The sequence below is a fragment of the Homo sapiens genome, chromosome 21 (genome assembly GCF_000001405.40).
Source record: "Homo sapiens chromosome 21, GRCh38.p14 Primary Assembly".
NCBI classification, from domain to species: domain Eukaryota; kingdom Metazoa; phylum Chordata; class Mammalia; order Primates; family Hominidae; genus Homo; species Homo sapiens.
Genome location: NC_000021.9, coordinates 44168944 through 44190869, shown reverse-complemented (window position 1 = coordinate 44190869; position 21926 = coordinate 44168944). Strand labels below are relative to the sequence as shown.

Below are 21926 nucleotides of genomic sequence, written 5' to 3'. Positions count from 1 at the left end.
GTGTGTGGAATTTGTGTTGTTCATAGACTAATCAAGTGGTTTCAGATGTCTGGGTCTGTCTCTAAGTCTGTTTACTTGCAAATCCAAGCCAAGGTTAAACAAATGGTCTTCATTAAACCTTCATTTGATCTCATGTCCACAGTCTGCTCTGCCAGTAGTTTACAGCCAGAGGCAAAGCAAACCAAGAACACAGAGCCATCTACAGGGAAAAATCCTGGGTAACTACTTCTTCTCAGAAAAGCCCATCACCATCTCCACGCTCAAGAGAATAGTGCTGGACCCCTACCTCACACCATGTACCAAAACTAACTCAGAACAGACCAACAACCCTAATGTAACAGCAAAAAATATAGAACTCTCAGACAAAAACCCAGGGGAAAAGCTTGACAACATTGCTTTTGGCAGTGATTTCTAGGATATGACACCAAAAGCACAAGCAGCAACAGAAAAAAACATTAAATTTAAACCATCTGTGCACCAAGGACACTGAACAGTGAAAACACAACCATGAAATGGGAGAAGGTAGGTGCAAATTGTGTATCTGATATGGGATGAATATGCAGAATATGATTATTTTATTTTTACTTTTTTTTGAGATAGAGTCTCGCTCTGTCACCCAGGCTGGAGGGCAGTGGCACAATCTTGGCTCACTTTAACCTCTGCCTCCCGGGTTCAAGTGATTCTCGTGCCTCAACCTCCCAAGCAGCTGAGATTATAGGCGTGTGCCACCATTCCCGGCTAATTTTCAGTAGTAGAGACAGGGTTTTGCCATGTTGGCCAGGCTGGTCTCAAACTTCTGGCCTCAAGTGATCCACCTGCCTCAGCCTCCCAAAGTGCTGGGATTACAGGTGTGAACCACCGTGCCCAGCCATGATTATTATTATTTTTTAAATATAGAGACCAGATCTTGCTATGTTGCCCAGGCTGGTCTTGAACTCCTGAACTCAAGCAATTCTCCTGCTTTGGCCTCCCAAAATGCTGTGATTACAGGCATGAACCACCACGCCCGGCCCAGAATATGATTTTTTTTAATTGGCAGAGACAAGGTCTCATTTTGTCACCCAGGCTGGAGTGCAATGGCACAATCTCGGCTCACTGCAACCTCCGCCTCCCAGGTTCAAGTGGTTCTTCTGCCTCAGCCTCCCGAGTAGCTGGGATTACAGGCACCTGCCAACATGCCTGGCTAATTTTTGTATTTTTAGTAGAGATGGGGTTTTACCATGTTGGCCAGGCTGGTCTTGAACTCCTGACCTTAGATGATCCACCTGCCTTGGCCTTCCAAAGTGCTGGGATTACAGGCGTGAGCCACCGTGCCTGGCCAAAATGTTAAATTCTTTACAGATATGTCAAAGTCAGCAATAAACCATACTATATAGAAACAAACAAAAATTTACTAGAAATAATTCAGTGAGCCAACTCTTTGTATCAGTCATTATTTATTATTATTATTATTATTATTATTACTATTTTGAGACAGGGTCTCATTCCCATTGCCCAGACTGGAGTGCAGTGGTGTGATCACTACTCACTACAGCCTCAACTTCTTGGGCTCAAGTGATTCTCTCACCTCAGCTTCCCAACTAGCTGAGACTACAGGCACCCGGCTACTTTTTGTATTTTCAGTAGAGACGGGGTTTCACCACGTTGCCCAGGCTGGTCTCAAGTGACCCACTGCCTCAGCTTCCCAAAGTGCATAGTCATTTTTAAAGTACAGTTTAGGGATAATGTATTATTTCTATTAGAGTTATAACTTTAAGCTGGGAGATGTTCAGTAACTAAGTTTGTGAAGCTATTAGAATGTTTAAGTGCATTTGGTTTGCTATGAGCTTGATTTATTAAAAGGATAAGAGTAATTTAAGTGTTTGACAAGTCTGGCTGTCTGTTTTGCAAATGTTTCCTGTCAGGTATTTGAAATGCTTAAAAAGAAAAATGAAGACATTAAATTATAATCAAACGTTAAAAACATAAAGGGAATTTAACTTTAATAAAAAGCCTATCAACAATGATACATCTACAAAGAGGCAGACATTCCAAGTTGGGAAGATGGGGAGGTTACTTACCCGTGCTGCTCCCGAACCAATTAACTAGCAGAACTTGTTTTCAAACAATAAGATACAACCTGGTACAGAATGTTCCAACGCGGTGGGGGAGGGATCACGTTTGCCGATGAGGACTGCAATGTTGGGACTAAAACCGTGTGTGAAACCTGAACGGCTCCAAAATCATCTGTTCCCTTCTCATCTCTCCCAGAAGTGTCCGTGACAGTCGCTGTCATGGAAGTCACCTCCCCAGCACCACAAGGGAGAGCCATCCTTCCTGCAGGGCGGCCACGTGGCCACCTAGGCTGGTCCCGGGAGACCTTGGACCCAGGCTGGTGCCTGCCCCAGCTCCTGTCCCGAGACGTGGCTGAAGGTGAGCATCTCACCCAGGCTGGGCAGCAGTGTCCACCCTGGGACTTTTGGGACTGATGAAGACAGTCAAGTCCATCCCCATGAAAACAGAGAGGGCTGCTTTTCCAGCAGAATAGAAATCACCAAACTCAATCCTAGAAGAACTGGAATATTCGAATAGTCCGCCTTCCACAGGAGAAATTAGAAAGGTGATGGATATTTATCTTTAAGGAAAGTGCAGACCAGTTGAATTTTATTTAACCTTTAAAAAGATAATTCTAACTTTTCTAGGCCACAGAAAAAGATGGGAAACCTCCTATTTATGAAGGCATAGCTTTTGTCAAGGGAGCATATAGGGCCAGGTGCGGTGGCTCAAGCCTGTAATCCCAGCACTTTGGGAGGCCGAGGCGGGTGGATCAGCTGAGGTCAGGAGTTTGAGACCAGCCTGACCAACATGGAGAAACCCTGTCACTACTAAAAATACAAAATTAGCCAGGTGTGGTGGCATGTGCCTGTAATCCCAGCTACTCAGGAGGCTGAGGCAGGAGAATTACTTGAACCTGGGAGGCAGAGGTTGCGGTTAGCCAAGATTGCACCACTTCACTCCAGACTGGGCAAAAGGAGCGAAACTCCATTTCAAAACAAAAAAAGGTGGTGGGGGGGAGCATATAAAATGATAAAGCTATGTTGCTTGTACCTATAGATGCAAACAGTTTGGATAAAATATTAGCAAAAATATACTACCAATGTGTCAAAATCATCACACACCACCCCCAAGCAGGTGGTTTATTTTAGAAATGCAAAGATGGTTCAGGAACAGGACATCTATCAGCATGAAAAAGAAATTAGTGGACAAGGAGCAGTGGCTCGCACCTGTAATCCCAGCACTTTGGGAGGCCGAGGCGGGTGGATCACCTGAGGTCAGGAGTTTGAGACCAGCCTGGCCAACATAGTGAAACCCCGTCTCTACTAAAAATACAAAAATTAGCCAGGTGTGTTGACGGGTGCCTGTAATCCCAGGTACTTGGGAGGCTGAGGCAGGAGAATCACTTGAACCCGGGAGGCAGAGGTTGCAGTGAGCCGAGATCACGCCACTTCACTCCAGCCTGGGTGACAGAGTGAGACTCTGTCTCAAAAAAAAAAAAAAAAGAAAGAAATTAGTGAAAGAAGAAAGATGCAGATAACTCAGGCTTAGCAATCCTTACGCAGCTGCTCCTGGGTGGCCTGAGGGCAACTGGAAAGGGAGCTGGGCCCAGCCAGCTGCAGAATGACCAGGAGCTCAGCCCGACACAGCCTCACCAAGGTGGGCCTGGCATGCAGCAGGGGCTGCACGAAGGCCTGGGGAGGGGAGGGTCTGTCCGGCCTCCGAAGGGACCCTGAGAGTCCTGGGCAATAGAAAGTTCTGGGCATTGAGTTGTTAGAGGGACCAAAAGGTGGGGAAAGAGCGTGTCTGTGGTTGGGATGTGTGGGCTGCAGGCCACAGCCAGCAAACTCCTCCGTGCAGATGCTGACAGGGAGCGTGTCAGCAGGGTGATCTGTGATCCCAAACCAGGCCTGGAGCAGTGGCCCCCGGGTGGCCCGCCAGCCTCGGACTCTGGCCTCATCCCTCCTCCCTGCTCCTCTCAGGGGCTGGACACTGCCTCCTTCCCCTCTGGCCCCCTCTGATCCAGCCTCCAGGGGTGGGGACCTCAGCCAGCTGATGTCCAGGTGTCCTGGGAAAGTGGCCCTAGCCACAGATTCACACTCCTGAGGCAGGCTTCGGATGGGCCCACCTGGGACCCATGCTCACCTCTGTCAGAGGTCAGGGCCCGGTGTCCCGTGGACAGGAGGGCAGATGCAGAGAATACCCTCCCCACCCCTCATCCTTTCTCGGCCTCTCAGCATAGGCCGGCAGATGTCATGCCAGGCACGGTGGGTGAGGACCACATCAGCCAAGGCTATGCTCTGGTAGGGCCTAAACGCTGCGGGATGCTTTACGCCTGCTTGGTGTTCACGATCGTCGTGAAACAAAGCCAAGGAGCTCATGCCTGTGGGGACCCTCCCCTAGGGTCACGGGTCTACCCCGATCTTAGTCCTCGCGCCAGCCTGTGGAGGGAGTGCTCTGATTTCAGATGGGAAATCGAGGCAGGGAACGGCTGTGCAGCTCACCCAGGGCCAGGCTCGGGCCAGTGCTCCTGTCCGGGGAGAGGCACCATCCTGGGTCTGGCTTGTCATGCTGCATTCATCACGCGTGTCTGCAGCCGCATTTGTCGTGCATGTCTGTGTGGATATGGCTCCTCCAGGTCCAAGGAGCAGGAGCAGAGCAGGCCCCGGGGGGCAGGAAGCTCCGTCCCCACTGCCCCACGCACAGTGCAGAGGACCCGTAGGTGGCCACAGAGGTCTCCGCTAGTTGAGGCCGGCATGGCTTGTCCTCCTGCAAAGGTCCAGCCCCGAGGGTGGGCGCTCGGGGCCATAGGCAGCGAGGGCAGTTCTGGTGGATCCTGGGGCTTGGCATCTCGGGGCAGGCAGGGGCTTGCAGAAGAGAAGCCAAGGTCACTGCTGGGGAAGCAGCCGGCACCAGGGGCCACTGCCTGACGCACCATTGCAAGCAGGGTGTGGGGCTGTCCACCACCCCCAAAAGACCGCCAGCATGCCCCCTGCCTCCAGCACCACCCTCCCCATCCACAGCCTCTGTGCTGGTCCCGGCCGCTGGCCAGGCTGGCATTGGCCCCTGGAGCTGGTGGGAGAGGGTCCTGTGTCTCAGGCTGCCCTCCGCTGTCTTCAGGGCTCAGAGACTGGGATGAGTGGCCTTTGTACCAGGTGCTGGGGGCTGACAGCAATGAGGGCCAGGCTCCAGCATCACCAGGACTCGCCTCTTTGGGTAAAACACTTTCTCCAAAGGGCCCCGTGGCAGATGCAGCAGGTGGAGCAGAAGCCCCCACACCTGGGGTCTGGCAGGGAGGGGCCTCACTGGGGTTTCCCAGACACTGGTGCGGACGGGGCTGCTTCAGTGGGAGGTGAGTGACCAGGAGGAGGAGGGGCGCTGGGACCCGCAGCCCCTACCATGAAGGCTGAGCGACAAGGGGAGGCAGGGCCCCAGCAGGGCACCCGGAGGGCACGGGGGACACAGAGACCACAGAAAGCTGAGGGACAGTTCCTGGCCAGGGCGTCCTCTCCCCAGGTAGGAAGAGCCTTCCCTGACCTGGACAGTGGCAGCCCCTGGAGGGGGCAGCTGTGGGCAGGGGCTGGAAGCCTGGGCAGGGGCCAGGATGAAGTGGGGCCAAGGCCAAGGCCAGCACCGGAGGAGCCCGTTCCCAAAGGGCAGGGCCTGGCCCAGCCCCGTGGCTTCGCTGTGATGGAGTAAAAGACACAAAGTCCCCCATGGGGTTTCCCGGGGCTGCTTCCACCCCAGTACCCCCAGGCAGCTGCAAAACTAACTTGGCAAACACCATCTGCCGAAAGAGTAAGTAGGAGTTCAACCACAGCGGAGTGAAAAGGAGGAGAGGCTGGAAAAACCCACTCTCCCTGTTCAACAGGGAAAGTCCCAGCTGAATCACACTGATTATTCATGAGGAAGAAAAGGAAAACTGGCAGAGCTATAAAAATATTCTGTTTTATCAAATCAGGAAAACACAGTACTCAACCTGCGGATTAAAAACACTTTCTGAAGGAAGAAAGAATACATTTAGGCGCTAGTTTCACTGGAAAAATTCAGGAAATCATTAAGTGTAGGCACTGGGTGCTGAGATGTCAGATGAAATAGATGGGAATGGAACAGGAGCTGGTGAGATGTCAGATGAAATAGATGGGAATGGAACAGGAGCTGGTGAGATGTCAGATGAAATAGATGGGAATGGAACAGGAGCTGGTGAGACGTCAGATGAAATAGACGGGGATGGAACAGGAGCTGGTGAGATGGCAGATGAAATAGACAGGAATAGAACAGGAGCTGGTGAGACATCAGATGAAATAGATGGGGATGGAACAGGAGCTGGTGAGACATCAGATGAAATAGACGGGAATGGAACAGGAGCTGGTGACACATCAGATGAAATAGATGAAATAGACAGGAATAGAACAGGAGCTGGTGAGATGTCAGATGAAATAGGAATGGAACAGGAGCTGGTGAGAGGTCAGATGAAATAGACGAGGATGGAACAGGAGCTGGTGAGATGTCAGATGAAATAGACGGGAATAGACAGGGATGGAACAGGAGCTGGTGAGATGTCAGATGAAATAGATGGGAATGGAACAGGAGCTGGTGAGATGTCAGATGAAATAGGAATGGAACAGGAGCTGGTGAGAGGTCAGATGAAATAGACGAGGATGGAACAGGAGCTGGTGAGATGTCAGATGAAATAGACGGGAATAGACAGGGATGGAACAGGAGCTGGTGAGATGTCAGATGAAATAGATGGGAATGGAACAGGAGCTGGTGAGATGTCAGATGAAATAGATGGGAATGGAACAGGAGCTGGCGAGATGTCAGATGAAATAGATGAAATAGATGGGAATGGAACAGGAGCTGGTGAGACGTCAGATGAAATAGATGAAATAGCTGGGGATGGAACAGGAGCTGGTGAGATGTCAGATGAAATAGATGAAATAGATGAAATAGCTGGGGATGGAACAGGAGCTGGTGAGATGTCAGATGAAATAGATGGGAATGGAACAGGAGCTGGTGAGATGTCAGATGAAATAGATGAAATAGCTGGGGATGGAACAGGAGCTGGTGAGATGTCAGATGAAATAGATGAAATAGATGAAATAGCTGGGGATGGAACAGGAGCTGGTGAGACATCAGATGAAATAGACAAGGATGGAACAGGAGCTGGTGAGACGTCAGATGAAATAGTTGAAATAGATGGGGATGGAACAGGAGCTGGTGAGGAGTCAGATGAATAGACGGGAATGGAACAGGAGCTGGTGAGACGTTAGATGAAATAGATGAAATAGATGAAATAGCTGGGGATGGAACAGGAGCTGGTGAGATGTTAGATGAAATAGATGAAATAGCTGGGGATGGAACAGGAGCTGGTGAGACATCAGATGAAATAGACGGGGATGGAACAGGAGCTGGTGAGACATCAGATGAAATAGACGGGGATGGAACAGGAGCTGGTGAGACATCAGATGAAATAGACGGGAATGGAACAGGAGCTGGTGAGATGTCAGATGAAATAGACGGGGATGGAACAGGAGCTGGTGAGAAGTCAGATGACATAGACGGGGATGGAACAGGAGCTGGTGAGACATCAGATGAAATAGACGGGAATGGAGCAGGAGCTGGTGAGAAGTCAGATGAAATAGATGAAATAGACAGGGATGGAACAGGAGCTGGTGAGAAATCAGATGAAATAGACAAGGATGGAACAGGAGCTGGTGAGACATCAGATGAAATAGACGGGAATGGAACAGGAGCTGGTGAGACGTCAGATGAAATAGACAGGAATGGAACAGGAGGTGGTGAGGAGTCAGATGAAATAGATGAAATAGATGCGGATGGAACAGGAGCTGGTGAGAGGAAATATATGGGAATGGAACAGGAGCTGGTGGGACATCAGATGAAACAGACGGGAATGGAACAGGAGCTGGTGGATGGGCATGAATTAGCTGAGGGCAGGTGTGAGGAGGTGATCTCAGGAGAGACCCAGCGGCAGCTTTCAAGGCACTGGGAGCTGAAGGAACAGCACCCACAAGCACAGAGCCGGACCAGGAGGCCGAGACACAGGCGGCGGCAGCCCCACGCCCCACACCCCATGCCCCAGGGAGGAGGAAGGCAGAGATGAGGAGAGAGAAAGCAGACATGGAGGACGGAAGCCAGAAACCTGCTGGGCGAAGGAGCAATTTTCCAGATAAAGAAACTCGAACAACCGGAACGGTGCAGCCATAGAGTATGTAAGAGAAGGAACTTCTAGAATGAAGACAGATCTGAATCTATTTAATCAAACGGCTCACGGGGACAAGCAAAATTAATGAAAATGAATCTGGTGGAAATCTTCCACTTCAAGCATAAAACACCAGACAAGCACAGAGAGAAACTGAGTAGCCCAGCAGCATCCTGTGCCAGGAGACCACGGAGACCACAGGGCGACAGCTGGAGCTTCATGGCTGCAAACCCACCAATGCCAGGAGACCATGGGGCGACAGCTGGAGCTTCATGGCTGCAAACCCACCAACGCCAGGAGACCATGGGGTGATGTCTGGAGTCTCACAGCTGCAAACCCAGACTTCTGTGCTTGGCCGGGTCACTATAGGGAGACCCGCTGCACCAGTCCAGGCAACAGAAAAAACATTCTCAGCTACATAGAGGCCAGAAATTGCACCAAGAACATTTCCTTCCCGAAAAAGCAACTCAAAATTAATTATTTGAGGCAAACAAGAGGTGACTCCAAACAAAGACCCATAAACAGGGAAGGGCAGGCAGGCAGTGGTGGCCGGGGACATGGAGATGGCTTGAGCTAGAATTGAGTCCACGTGGATTTTGTGAATAAAATCTAAGAATTGCAAAATAACAATCACTAAAACTTAAAACCACCTTATCAGGGATGACGGCTCTTTGGGGGTCTTGTAGTGAGGCCAAGATAGACTTCAGGATCGAGGTTCTACCAGTGATTTAAAATTAGGATGTTGAAATTTGGCAGAATGACTTAAGTTTTAGAAAAAAAGGAAATTGGGTCATTCTCTTTCCAAAGGAAAACTGTCCCGTGATGGAATGCGTAGTCATTTGTGTCTGCAACAGTAAGCGTCTGTAACCCTTGGGAACTTCACATTCTCAGCCTCACTTCATCCCAGAGAAAGTCATGGGAAATGCCAGTCACTCTGGAATGTTCCCAAGTGTGCAGAAACTGAGAGGCCTCCCACCAGGCTCACCTGGCCTCCTTCCCCAGCTGCTTCTCTCCCATCTCACTGCTCTACTGAGCACTAGGGGCTTCCAGACCTCCCTCCAGCCTCTGAGCTGCTGTGAGTCCCACTGAGGCAGGGCAGGGGCAGGGGCAGCCTCGTGGCTGTCCTGGGTGTCATGAAAGGCGGTTTGGTGAAGCTGTTGGTAACAAAATCCAAATGCCAGGATGGAAGAGCGATATGGTGTCGCCAGATGGCAAGGCAGACCCTAGGCCAGCTGGCCCCGGCCCACCCGTCACTGTGAGCACTGGCATAGTCACCCTGAACGTGAAAGGAGGCAATTCCCTGCCCGGCTCTGGAGTCGGGCTGCCCAGACAGCTGGGCTGGCTCTGCCGTTGGGCTGGGCCTCAGTTTCCTCACTGCAGAGAGGGTGACAACACACTGGCCCACATGTGAGGGAGTGGGACATGTGAGCCGGCAGAGGGGAGGTTCGCTCATGAATGCTTACTTACCAAGGCCTCCTCCATTCCAGGCACCTGCCCAAACATGGCCCTTGCACGCCTCCCGGGACCCCACATCTACACCCAGTGACGGTCCCATCCTTATGCTCCAGATGAGGAAACTGAGGCACAGTGCTGGAACCCAAAGCCTTCTAGTTTGGGCTCCACAAAAGGCCTTTTGATTGAATTATGCTTGAAAAGGCAGGTTTCTCCGGCAAGAACGAGTGGGAACCACACCCAGTCTGAGGCTTCGTGCCTCACCGCTGCCCCTGGTCCTGCAGCTGCCTGGTGCCACCACCCAGGGCCACGGCTCCTCCAGGGCCCACTCCTTCCTCTGTTCAGGAGATTGCTCTCTTCACGTTAGTGCATGAATCCCATCCTGGGTCATGGAGCCAGCATGGCTGGAGCTCAGAGCCCAAACGCAGCTGAAGACAAGATGGCTCAGGCGGGAGCCCCGCAGAGCTCATCCCCGTCCATCCAGGCTACAGTGGGGGTTGGGTGGGGACATTTCTAGGGGGTGGGTCCGAGAGAAGCATGAGGACCTAACCCCACGACCCCCAGAAACCAAACTGGCTCTCTTGGTACAGCGCTAGTCTGTGGAGTGGGCCCATTCCCATGGTGTAAACACCCCCACTGATGCTGGCTTCCAGCTGCTGACGTGCTGTCACTGAATGTGGAGCCGGGAAGCATTGTTCCCTTTTGGCTTTTGAGACATGCCAGGCCCAGTGGACCACTTCAGGCTGCAACACATGCAGGGCAGGGTGTGGGCCAGGGCATGGCCTGAGTCCTCAGTGCCAGGGCATCGGAACACCTGGGAGTCCCTTGAGGATAAAAAAGGAGACCCAAGCCAATGAAATGGACACACAGCCCCTGCAAACTGAAGGTCCGTCTTCATGAACTTGATGATCATCTGTGGTGTTGGGTGATTTTTGTTTGTTTGAGACAGTCTCACTCTGTCACTGGGGTTGGAGTGCAGTGGCACGATCTCGGCTCACTACAACCTCTACCTCCTGGTTCAAGTGATTCTCCTGCCTCAGCCTCCCAAGTAGCTCGGATTACAGGTGCATGCCACCATACCAACTAATTTTTTATAGTTTTCGGTAGAGATGGGGTTTCACCATGTTGGCCAGGCTGGTCTCAAACTCCTGACCTCAATTGATCCACCCGCCTCAGCCTCCCAAAATGCTGGGATTACAGGTGTGAGCCACTGCACCTAGCCTGGGTAATCTATTTCAATTTAACAAACCAGCCCAACACTGCATGGCTTTAAACAGTAATAGCCGTTTCTTTAACTCACGCATGTGCAGTTTGGGCAGGGCTCAGCAGGGCTGGCTCATCTCCTCTCCGTGGAGGCCTGGGGCTGGGAGCCCTGCAGGCTCAGCTCGGATTCATGGGGATGGACATTCAAGCTGCAGGATTCACCAGGAACCTTACCCTTATCAGTGAAGACTGAGTTCACCTCTGAAAAGAGGGAGCCACATGGCTGGAGTTTGACCACCAGACATTCCTGGGCAGAACTTTGGGTCTGGAGCAAGTGACCCAGAAGCAGGGACAGTCTGGGCTGTACCAGCAGCTGCCTCACAGCCAGGCTGCCCTCTTGGCCTCCCTGGACCTGCCTATGCCCAGCCCTCATTCTCCAGCCTTCTGTCTGGTTTCCAGAGCCCCAAGAGCCCTCTGAGAAAGTTATTTAGCATAGGTTTCCATTCATTGCAACCAAGATCCTGAGTGCTTGTATGATACAGCAGATATGGTTAAATTAAAAAAAAAAAAAAGAAAGGAAAAAGCAGAGAGAGGTGTTTGTGCAACAGGACTATGCTGCAGAAAAGTTGCATGGAGAAGCTCTGGCAGAGTGGGCAGGCAGGGGCTGCTGGGAGGGGCCTCCGGCTCTATGGCTGAGCAGACCATAAGGAACCTGGTTTTCCCAGGGCTGGCCGGCAGGCCGTTCTCAGCTCCTCTGCCTCCACTCAGGGGAGGGTGGGCAGACGAGTGGGCAGGTGGGGAACCATGGCTCCACTGGCTCCTTGGGGCAGCCCCTGTTGGGCCCTGTCCTTACCCTCAGAGAACACGCTGCCTGCACCACCCCATGAAGGGGGGTCCACGAGGGTTAGGGCTACAATGCACTTGGTGACATCAGGACCATGGCAAGGTGTGGAGGGGGTGGACTCTGATCTGGATGCCACTGAGCTCATCCCATGGCCCCAGCCTCAGGGAGGGGCTGGAGAGCGTCCATTGGGGCATGGTGTGGACCTGGACGGTAGCCTGGGCACTGGAATCCTGGCCCTTCCCAGACCTGCTGAGCCAGCGCCAGCATCCTAACCCCAGGGACCCCAGGGACGCCTGTGCGCAGTCGCTCAGAGAAGCCCCAGGACGCCTGTTCGCAGTCACTCGGAGAAGCCCCAGGATGCCTGTGCGCAGTCACTTGGAGAAGTCCCAGGACGCTTGCGCGCAGTCACTCGGAGAAGCCCCAGGACCCCTGTGCACAGTCACTCGGAGAAGCCCCAAGCTGACTCAACTCTGTTGAAACGACTGTTGTAAGCAGATCTTGGAGGTCGCCCGTGGTCTCTGCCTCCAGTGTTACTCCCAAGACGGCTGTGTTGTGTGGCAGAGGGATTCTGAAGGCATGGTGAAGTTCACCAACCCGCTGACCTTAAAACAGGGAGGTGCCTCCGGGCCTGACCTCATCACACCAACACTTTAGAAGCGGAGTTTCCTCTGGCGGGTGCAGAAGGGATGGCCAGAAAGAGCCACTCATGGGGGGACTCCACCGGCCCCTGCTGCTTGAAGATGGAGGGGCCACCAGAGGCCACCAGGCAGGGACCCGAGAGAAAGCCCTAGGAGCTGAGGGCAGTCCCTGACAACAGCTGCGAGAAAACGGGGACCTCAGTCCCACACCCACAAGGACCTGGATTCTGAACCAGCCTGGGAGGAGGCCTGAGCCCCAGGTGAGGCCCCAGCAGGGGACCCAGGCCGGCTCCTGACCTGCAGGTGTGAGCTACAAGATGGTGCAGGCTTGTCCATTTATTTACTTATTTGTATGGTAGTAAAACACACATAACATAACATTGCCCACCTGAACTATTTTAAAGAGTCCAATTCAGCCACATTCCGTGCACTCACACTGTTGTGCAGACACTGCCTCAAGCAAGCTCCAGAACTCGTTCATCTTCCCAAACGGAGACCCATCAGCAGCCGGTCCCTTCCCTCTGCCCTCAGGCCCTGGAAGCCACGAATCCACTTCATCTCCTGGGTTTCTCTACTCTAGACACTTTACATCAGTGCAAGCTTTTTATATAAACGCAGTCACTTAGCACCATGTTTCTGAGGCTCACCCACGCCATAATGTGTAAGGGAGCTTCACCCTTTTTCTGGCTGCACAATACTCCGTCGTGCGTGCGCCGTGGCCTGTTGATCTGTTCCTCGGTCCACGGACACTTGGGTTGTTTCCACCTTCTAGCTACTGTGAATAACGCTGCTGTGAACACTCATGTCCGAGTTTTTGCTCAGACACCCGTCTTCATTTCTGGCTGTGCATCCCCAGGTGTGGAACTGCAGGGTGCTATGGCAATTGTTTAGCTTTGCGAGGAATCACCAGACCATTTCCCACAGCAGCTGCACCATTTCACACTCCCAAAAGGAATGTGTGCCGAGCGGGTGCTGTTTCAAGCTGCTAAGTTTCTGGTAAGTAGAAAACAGAAAACGAACACAGGGACTGGCCAGAGGGCTGGGAACAGGAGGCAGGGTGGCAGCAAGGTGGCAGCAGGGGGGTGGCGAGGGGGGGCAGCAGGGTGGTGGCAGGGCTCTCCTCCCTGGCCTCTCAGCCCAGCTCCCAAACTCCAGGTATCCTCAACCCCTCCTCCCAGCCTCAGCCCCAGCTCCACATCTCAGCTCCCAGCCTCAGCTCCAGTGGCCTCAGCTCTTGCTCCCAGCCTCAGCTAGCAACCTCACCTCCTGCTCCCGGCCTCAGCTCCTGGACTCAGCTCCAGCTTGCAGATGGATTCAGAAAGGCCCCAGGGCCTTACAGCAATGCCCCAAGACCATGCAGCTGCAGGGGGTCTGATTGGCAGGCCCCAGGAGGACTGCAGATGGGGCGGAGGTCTAAGCCCCCCACTCAGCTAAGTGGGGCATACGCCAGGGCAGGAAGGACACCTGAACGCCCACGTCCGGGTGTTGAGAAGGGCAGAGGCCTGGACAACGTGAGTGAGAGGGCGCGCGGGCACCAGATGTCCGATGAGGCCAAGGGCCTGCTGTATCCCTGTGCTGGGGGAACAGCGCCTCCCAAAATCAGGTCCCCTGGAACCCAAGAAGGCGACTTTATTTGGAAATAAATCTTTGCAGCTGTGATTAGTGGAGAACGAGATGAGGTCATCCTGGAGAGGCCCTCGCCGTAGCAGGTGTCCTTCGAGAAGAGAAGGGGAGGCGGCCTGATGACAGAGGCGGGGCCGGCGCGATGCTCCCACAAGCCAAGGAACCCCAAGGAGTGCCCGTGACACCAGCAGCCGGACAAGGAGGGCTCAGGACCAAGAGTGACCGCGGCCCTCACAGGCCGATCTGCCTTCCAGCCTCCAGCTCTGCGAGACGAGGCATTCCTGTAGCTTTAAGCCCCTCGTCTGTAGGACACTCACCCCCAAGTAAAGGCCCAGCCACGATGGGAGGGGAGCGTGAGGCTGTAGCCCTGGGGAAAGCTGTCCTTGGTCTTCCAGAGGCGAGGAGCTGCGGAACCCCCTGCGGGACACTCAGCTCCGCCCAGAACACCTGGGCTTCTCCATTTCCTCTTGGCAAGTCCCTCGGTGTTTACTTTCTCCCAGTCCAGGGAAACTCCACGCCCAGGGCTTCGGGACTCGGGTCAGGAGAATATTCCCCCTGCGGCCAACCGCAGGCACGGGGAGGAAGTGAGCCTGACCTTTCTCAGGTCCAAAGGTCCCTGAGCTCATGCAGCCCCGCACAGGGAGGGAGGAAGGTGGCTCTGCCCTGCTCCTGACCTGAGACACCAGGGCCACAAATCACCTGTCCTGGGGCCTTCCAGGCCTCATGGTCCTGGGCTTCAGGGCTGCCCTTGGTTTGTACTTGGCCGGTCTTTCGTTGGGTTGGGAATACTGGTAGGGAGGTGCGGGGGTCCCAGGCAGAAACCGACAAGAAACCTGTGGTCGCCAGACCTTCTTGGCACCTGTCACCAGGTCACATCTGATTTGCTGAGCCCCATGGCAGAGTCCAGATGAAAATGCCGGCTGGGCATGGTGGCTCACGCCTGTAATCCCAGCACTTTGGGAGAACGAGGCAGGAGGCTCACTTAAGGCCAGGAGTTCGAAATCAGCCTGGCCATCATGGTGAAACCCCATCTCTACTAAAAATACAAAAATTAGCTGGGCGTGGTGGTGCGTACCCCTAGTCCCAGGTACTCAGGAGGCTGAGGCACGAGAATTGCTTGAACCTGGGAGGTGGAGGTTACAATAAGCCGAGATCACGCCACTGCACTCCAGCCTGGGCGATAGAGCAAGACTCTGTCAAAAAAAAAGAAAGAAAGAAAAGAAAAGAGAGAGAAAGAAAAAGGAAGGAAGGAAGTTAGGAAGGAAGGAAGGAAGGGAGGAAGGAAGGAAGGAAAGAAAGAAAAGAAAAAATGCCTACCTCCTGGGACAGAGTCTCTGTGAAATGCAGCCTCTTCCCTGAACCATGCACATGCCCGCGCGCGCGCGCACAGCAATGGCCGCCCTGCAGACAGCCAGGCCTCGGAAGTCTGGACGTCCGCGAGGCAGAGAGGCGGGGGCGGGCCACTGACCCACGCACAGCCGGCACCTGCATTTCCCCTTTCCCAGAACCAGATGGGGCAGGGGAAGTGGGGTGGGGGTTTCAGTTCCTCTTGACCTCATCAAGACACTGTTGTCTAGAACCTTCTTTCTGCCCATCACGGTAATTGGAGATGCTGCTAACTAGCTCCCACCTCTGCCTGCCCGCTTCATGCCTGCCATCCTTGGCATCCCTACTTGAAAAAAAGCTCTCCATTTTTGCAGGAAACCCGAGTGAAGGCTGAGTGCCCCATGAGGGACCCGGGCTCTGACACAGACAGACTGTCCCGGCTGGAGTCCAGCTCCTGGACGACCTGGGTCTCCCCGTTCTGCACTGGTATCGCGCGGTGAGGCGGCGCTGATCAGAACCTCAAAAGACCTGACCCCGAACACCGTCATCCCAAATCCTGAGCTCCTGAAAGATCAAAACCTAACATGTTGGTGTTCTGACCAGTTTCTCTGTGAATGGTTCATCTGCACATAACTCATATCCACGTGACTGAATGAGCACACCTGTGTGTCTGTGCTGGAGAAAATGTTATGATCACCGACTTTATTGGGTAAAGTCGCCTATGAGGGGTGCTGTCGTGTTTTTCAGTTTCTCAAATCCCCCTTAAAATATAAATAAATAAATGTATTTTATTTATTTATTTATTTATTTTTCTTTTTTGAGACAGAGTCGCTCTGTTGCCCAGGCTGGAGTGCAGTGGCACAATCTCGGCTCAGGGCAACCTCCACCTCCCAGGTTCAAGCGATTCTCCTGCCTCAGCCTCCCGAGTAGCTGGGACTACAGGCGCCCGCCACCACACCCGGCTAATTTTTTGTATTTTTAGTGGAGACGGAGTTTCACTGTGTTAGCCAGGATGGTCTTGATCTCCTGACCTCGTGATCCACCCGCCTCGGCCTCTCAAAGTGCTGGGATTACAGGCATGAGCCACCGCGCCCGGCCAAACAAATGTCTTTTACAGAATGTTTTCGAATTAGTTTTTCCAGAATTATAATTTTGGGATTTTGATCTTTCAGGATGTCAGCATTCAGAACTGTGTCCCAGGATCGTGGCCCAGACCCACAGGGCAGGGGCGTGCACTTTTGAGGGTTCTGAAGACGACTCAACAGGGTGCCTGACCTGCTGGTAAGGACTCAGGAGACCTCACCTGTCCTCGTCACACTCATGGAAGGGGACTCCAGATCCCTGGCGTAGCTGGTCTGGGAACTGGGGAGGGATGGGCAGTGCCCGGTATAGGGTGCAACCTCCAGTGCCCACATTAGCACGTCTGTTGCTGTGAGATTCTATCCTGTGGACACCTGTGGCTGTAACACACACCTTCCCACTGCTGTCACAGGAGTGATACTCTTTCCGATTCTAACATCAGTGTGTGCACATTTTGGGAAAACCAGCAAGTACAGAAGAAGAATTTAGGCCGGGCCCAGTGGCTCACGCCTGGAATCCCAGCACTTCGGGAAGTCAAGGCAGGAGGATCGCTGGAGGCCAGGAGTTTGAGATCAGCCCGGGCAACATAGTGAGACCTCATCTCTATTTAAGAAAGAAAAAGACCACTGGTCCTCCCAGTGTTTACAAGATTTTTCCATTAAAACAGGAGGGATCATAATGAGCGGCCTAACAAAGACATTTAAAGACACGCCAAGAAGGGGCGCAGACAGGAGTCCTGAGATGCAGTCATGGGAACCCGCACCTGTTTTCCCGCCCTGGGCACCCAGCGTGGACAGGCTGGCCGGTGCCAGGGTGAGCAGGGCAGGCTGAGGTCTCCAGTGGGTGGGGACAGGTTAGGGGGCAGCAATTCAGTGACCCTGTCCAGGACTGGGTCCCTTGCAGAAGGTGAGGTCAGCCAGGGGTGGGGGTGGTGGCTGTGGAATCCGTTGTCTGGTCTATAGGGGGTCCCCCTACCGAAGCCCTAACCCTCTCCCCTTCACCACCCCAGTGATCTCCTGGCCCAGGCTGCTGCCTCCAGCAGCTCCCCAGCCCCCAGGACAGTCCTTCAGGACTCTAGGGGGAGTCCCGTCTACAAGGACGGCTCACCAGTCTCCCGCCACAGCCAGTGAGGATGGGGTCCTGCAGCCGAAGTGGTGTGTGCCCAGTGTGGTGTCCCTGGCAGGCTGGGAGGGTGCCCCCAGCTGCCAGTTAGTGAGGCTGGGTTAGCACGAGGGCAAGGAGCTTGGATTCTGGGGCTGACAGCCTGAGCTCAACTCCAGCGCCCCATCTTGCTGGGGCTCCTCCGCCTGGAGGCGGCTCCTCCACCTGCCTCTGCCTCCGTTTCTGCAGCAGTTGCCTGCCGGACTCCAGCCCGAGGCGGGGGCCACGGCTGACCCAGCTGGAGAACGCCCCACTGGCCCAGTCAGTGCTGTCCTCTGCACCTGATGGCTTCTCTTGGCAGGGAGGGCTCCCCCGCCCCCGGGCTCTGTGCCAGCCAGAGGTTCCGCAGGAGCTGCTCACTTCCTCCCGCCGGCAGAGGCAGCCTGCGGGGCGGCTCCAACCTGGAGAAACCAAAATCAGGGCAAGTCCCTGGCTGCTTCCCTGGAAAGCCCCGACGGAGTCCCCGCTCCTTCCCGCCGGTTCTCAGGGTGCTTTATTTCAGAAGGGGATTTCTTCCTCCTGAGAATCTGATGGCCACAGGGTGCCTGTCACATGTCCACATCGGGCCCTCCTGGCTGTCACCAACTTGTCCAACTGTCAGAGGTGTTTGAACCAGAGCGACTCCGTCTTGAATAGGGGCTGGGTGGAATGAGGCTGGGGCCTGCTGGACTGCGTTCCCGGGAGGGTAAGGCATTCTTAGTCACAAGACAGGAGGTTGGCACAAGATACAAGTCACGAAGACCTTGCCGATAAAGCAGGTTGCAGTAAAGAAGTGGCCAAATCCCACCAAAACCAAGATGGTGACTAGAGTGACCTCTGGTCGTGCTCGCCACTCATTATACACAAATTCTAATGCATTAGCTGCTAAGAGACACTCCCACCAGCGCCATGTCCACAAATGCCATGGCAACGTCCGAAAGTTACCCTGCACGGTCTAAAAAGGAGAGGAAGCCTCAGTTCTGGGAATTGACCACCCTTTCCCAGAAAATTCATGAATAATCCACTCCTTGTTTAACATATAATCAAGAAATGACCAAAATAAGCATAAGAATATTCAGCTGAGCAGCCCAGCCCTCCGCACTGCCTCTGGAGTAGCCATTCTTTATTCCTTTACTCTATTAATAAACTTCTCACTTGACTCTCTGGACTCACCCTGAACTCCTTCCTGTGTGAGGTCCAAGAACCCTCTCTTGGTGTCTGGATCAGGACTCCTTTCTGGTAACACAAGCACACAGAGACGTCTCCAGGGGAGTGGGAGGGCCCACTGAGCAGGCCGCAGAGGCAGAGGCTGAGCGCCATCCCACACACTCATCACCAGGGGACGGGCCACCCACACCACACCGGCAGCCCCCTCATACCCCCATGCTCCAGCCCAGAAGGCTGCCCTGGGCCGGCTCTCTATGCTGCCTCGATTTCCCCCTTTCTAGGCCTTGCTTGGGATGAAGGTCACTGCACACCAGATGTCTGCACGTACCGGAGCAGAGCGGGGCCGCCTGGAGCCCCTTCCCACCAACCAGAGCTGCGGCCAGGCAGGGTGGAAATGCAGGCTGTGGGGAGACGAAGGTCAAGTCCCAGAACATGGACGTGTCCCGGGCTCCTGGCTGGTGGGGGCCTGGTCCCTGGCGGGGAAAAGCAGCAGTGCAGGAGCCAGGGCTGTCTGCAGGGAACCAGCCAGGTGGGCTTGGGGGTCACAGGGTCCCTCAGGCCTCTGCTTTGCTCTCTGCTCTCTCTCTTCCTCGGAAAAAGTCTGTGCTGTTGGTCACTTCGCTTTCATTCAACAAGCACAGAGGGAGCACCTGCTCGGGCCAGGCCCTGGGCTGGAACCACGTGGGCGAGTCCCTGCACCCTGGAGCTAAGGTTCTGGGGAGAGGAGACCGGGAGGCAGGCGGTGCCCGTGTGTGCGCGGGTGAAGAAGCCTCAGGGAGCGTGCGGCCGAGGAGGAGCCGCCTCAGCAGATCTCGGGAAGAACTTTCCAGGCAGAACGGTCCGTGCAAAGACCCTGGGGCAGAGGTGCTCAGACACAGCCAGGGGGCTGAGGGCAGAGGTCTGGGGTCAAGCTGGGGCTGGAGGGTGGGAGGGGTCCCCGGGAGGGGGTGTCCTGGCTCCTGGTGGCTCTTCTAGGGCAGGGACCTGGGCTGCTCCACTTTCACACTCCTGGGGTTTCCCCGGGAGCCTTCTCTGTGGCAAGAAGCCTGTCCTGGAAAGTCCCGGACCACAAGTCAACAAGGAAAGGTCAGCTCTGGGCTACGGCCGGGCCAGGCCAGGCCTGTGCCCTGTGGTGCTCCCGAGGACGGGGCCAGCGACCCTGTGTCCTGCTCCAGCCCCTCTGTGGGTGCAGGAGGTTGGGGGCTGCCCTCCCAGGAAATACCACTGAGGCCTCGGCTCTCAGGCTGCCCACAGGGCCTCTCCCACTGAGGCAGCGGGGGCAGCAGGGCCACAGCCCCCGCTTACCCCCTACCCAAGCCCTCTGCCCTTAGGCGTGCAGCCACACCCAAGAGTGTCAGGCCTGGGGTCCTGGGTGTGGAGCTGAGGGGCCTGGGCAGGGCAGATGGGGGAAACTGGGGGTCCAGGTTACAGCAGGCTGGGAGGGTGAGAGGTGGCCTGAGCACCAGTGGCCCTCTGGGATGTGACATTTACTCTGAGGGTGAGAGGAGAGGCCGGGAACAGAGAGGGCAATGAGCAGGGAGGCAGAGGCGGCAGAGACGTGCAGAAGCAGGAGAACTGGGCAGAGCACCTAACCCGCTCCGCTCCGTCCCGTAGCCTCTCCCCTCCAGGCACAATCTGCCTTCCTCCTCCAGGCACAAGAGAGTTGGCCAACGCCTCCTGGGGCAAAGTCCCCAGGTGAAGAGCGGCTGCTCTAAGGTTTAACCTCCAGGTTATCACAAACCCAGGGAGGGGAAGGAGGGACAAGTTGTTATAAAAGACAAACCCCGGTGGCAGGACATCCTCCCAGCAGAGTCAGTGCCACTCTAACAAGCTGGGGCACGATTCCAGAAAGGCAAGGCGTGGCACCGAGTGAGGGCACCTGGGACATCCGAGCGCGAGTGGGAGGCTAGATGCTGTGTGGAGTTTTCCGAAGGCCTTGTTGTGATGGCGGCGACGCGGGGAGTGTCCTCATTCCCAGAAGTTTGCTGATTGATGTTTTTAGGGCCAGTGTTCAAATGTCTGCAACTTGTGTTCAAAAATGGTGCATGAAAAAATAATGCGAATGGAACACGGATCCTGAAAGAGGTTGGGTGCCTTTCAAGCGTTTCCTGAGGGGACGGGCTGGGCGTCCACACTCTTATTCTTTACACTTTTCTACGTACATCACAGTTTTCACAACACGCACACATCGGGATGGCTATTATCAAAACACAGAAAATCACAAGTGCGGGCAAGGATGTGGAGAACCAGACCCCTTGGGTGCTGCTGGCAGGAGTGTAAAACAGTGCTGCCACCGTGGGAAGCAGGATGGCAGTCCCTAAAACAATTCAAATAGAACTGCCAGGCCAGGGGCGGTGGCTGGCACCTGTAATCCCAGCACTTTGGGGGCCGAGGCAGGAGGATCACTTGAAGCCAGGAGTTCGCAACCAGCCGGGGCAAAATGGCAAAATTCTGTCTCTACAAAAAAATGAAAACTTAACCAGCCATGGTGATGGCCACCGGTAGTCCCAGCTACGTGGGAGGCTGGGCTGGGAGGCTTGCTTGAGCCCAGGAGACCCAGGTTCCCGTGAGCTATGATCATGCAGCTGCACTTTAGCTGAATTCTTCAGCAGAAATAAAAACTTCGGTCACACTGGTGTATACTGTCTTATTCTGTGCCCCTTAAGAAAGGTTTGATTCCCTAATTCCTTTTTATACACTAGTTTTTTTTCAAAAGTGTTTGCAGGGTTAGATCGCGTCTCTCGTCTCCACACTGCAGGTAACTGGGTAGAAACTCTGCCCTCATGCATCAGACACGCTCCTGGTTCCCTGCAATCGGACCTGTCACTACAAACAGACCAAGCTTTCCAGATGCCAGTGGTGGTGGGAAAGCTGACAACACTCCCTACAGCAGGATGACGGAGGACACAGCCTGCTCTATAACGTCAAAGTGGCCTCTGGGTCCTTGTCCCAGGGCAGAAACAGACTCCTAAGTGTGAACGGAAAACAGAGGATTATTAAAATTGTCACCTAATGCAGAAGCCCTGCTACGCCCTTAGGTGGTCAAGGCTGATTTCTTACCCATCCACGACCGCAAAGGAAACCGTTCTTTGTTGGGGTCGAAGAGCATGAACCCTCTTTAGAATGGATAGTGTTGGCCAGGCACGGTGGCTCACGCCTATAATCCCAGCACTTTGGGAGGCCGAGGCGGGCCGAT

The 21926-nt window shown here is 54.3% G+C and overlaps 1 long non-coding RNA gene across 1 annotated transcript, besides 4 other annotated features; it reads left to right on the top strand.

The window, feature by feature from the left end:
* The first annotated feature begins 116 nt into the window (after window positions 1–116).
* LOC105377139 (uncharacterized) lies at window positions 117–18722 on the top strand. Its single transcript, XR_001755082.3, has 4 exons — window positions 117–522; window positions 2251–2412; window positions 15718–16052; window positions 16516–18722. It is a non-coding gene; the product is annotated as an uncharacterized LOC105377139 (long non-coding RNA).
* Window positions 8977–9476: an enhancer, noted in NCBI's record as "H3K4me1 hESC enhancer chr21:45601277-45601776 (GRCh37/hg19 assembly coordinates)". NCBI's record gives its function as "activates a minimal SCP1, AML or CMV promoter by ChIP-STARR-seq in naive H9 embryonic stem cells {active_cell/tissue: H9 hESC(naive)}" and the evidence as "EXISTENCE:reporter gene assay evidence [ECO:0000049][PMID:30033119]".
* Window positions 9477–9978: an enhancer, noted in NCBI's record as "H3K4me1 hESC enhancer chr21:45600775-45601276 (GRCh37/hg19 assembly coordinates)". NCBI's record gives its function as "activates a minimal SCP1, AML or CMV promoter by ChIP-STARR-seq in naive H9 embryonic stem cells {active_cell/tissue: H9 hESC(naive)}" and the evidence as "EXISTENCE:reporter gene assay evidence [ECO:0000049][PMID:30033119]".
* Window positions 13963–14608: an enhancer, noted in NCBI's record as "H3K4me1 hESC enhancer chr21:45596145-45596790 (GRCh37/hg19 assembly coordinates)". NCBI's record gives its function as "activates a minimal SCP1, AML or CMV promoter by ChIP-STARR-seq in primed H9 embryonic stem cells {active_cell/tissue: H9 hESC(primed)}" and the evidence as "EXISTENCE:reporter gene assay evidence [ECO:0000049][PMID:30033119]".
* Window positions 14609–15255: an enhancer, noted in NCBI's record as "H3K4me1 hESC enhancer chr21:45595498-45596144 (GRCh37/hg19 assembly coordinates)". NCBI's record gives its function as "activates a minimal SCP1, AML or CMV promoter by ChIP-STARR-seq in primed H9 embryonic stem cells {active_cell/tissue: H9 hESC(primed)}" and the evidence as "EXISTENCE:reporter gene assay evidence [ECO:0000049][PMID:30033119]".
* Window positions 18723–21926: the final 3204 nt, after the last annotated feature.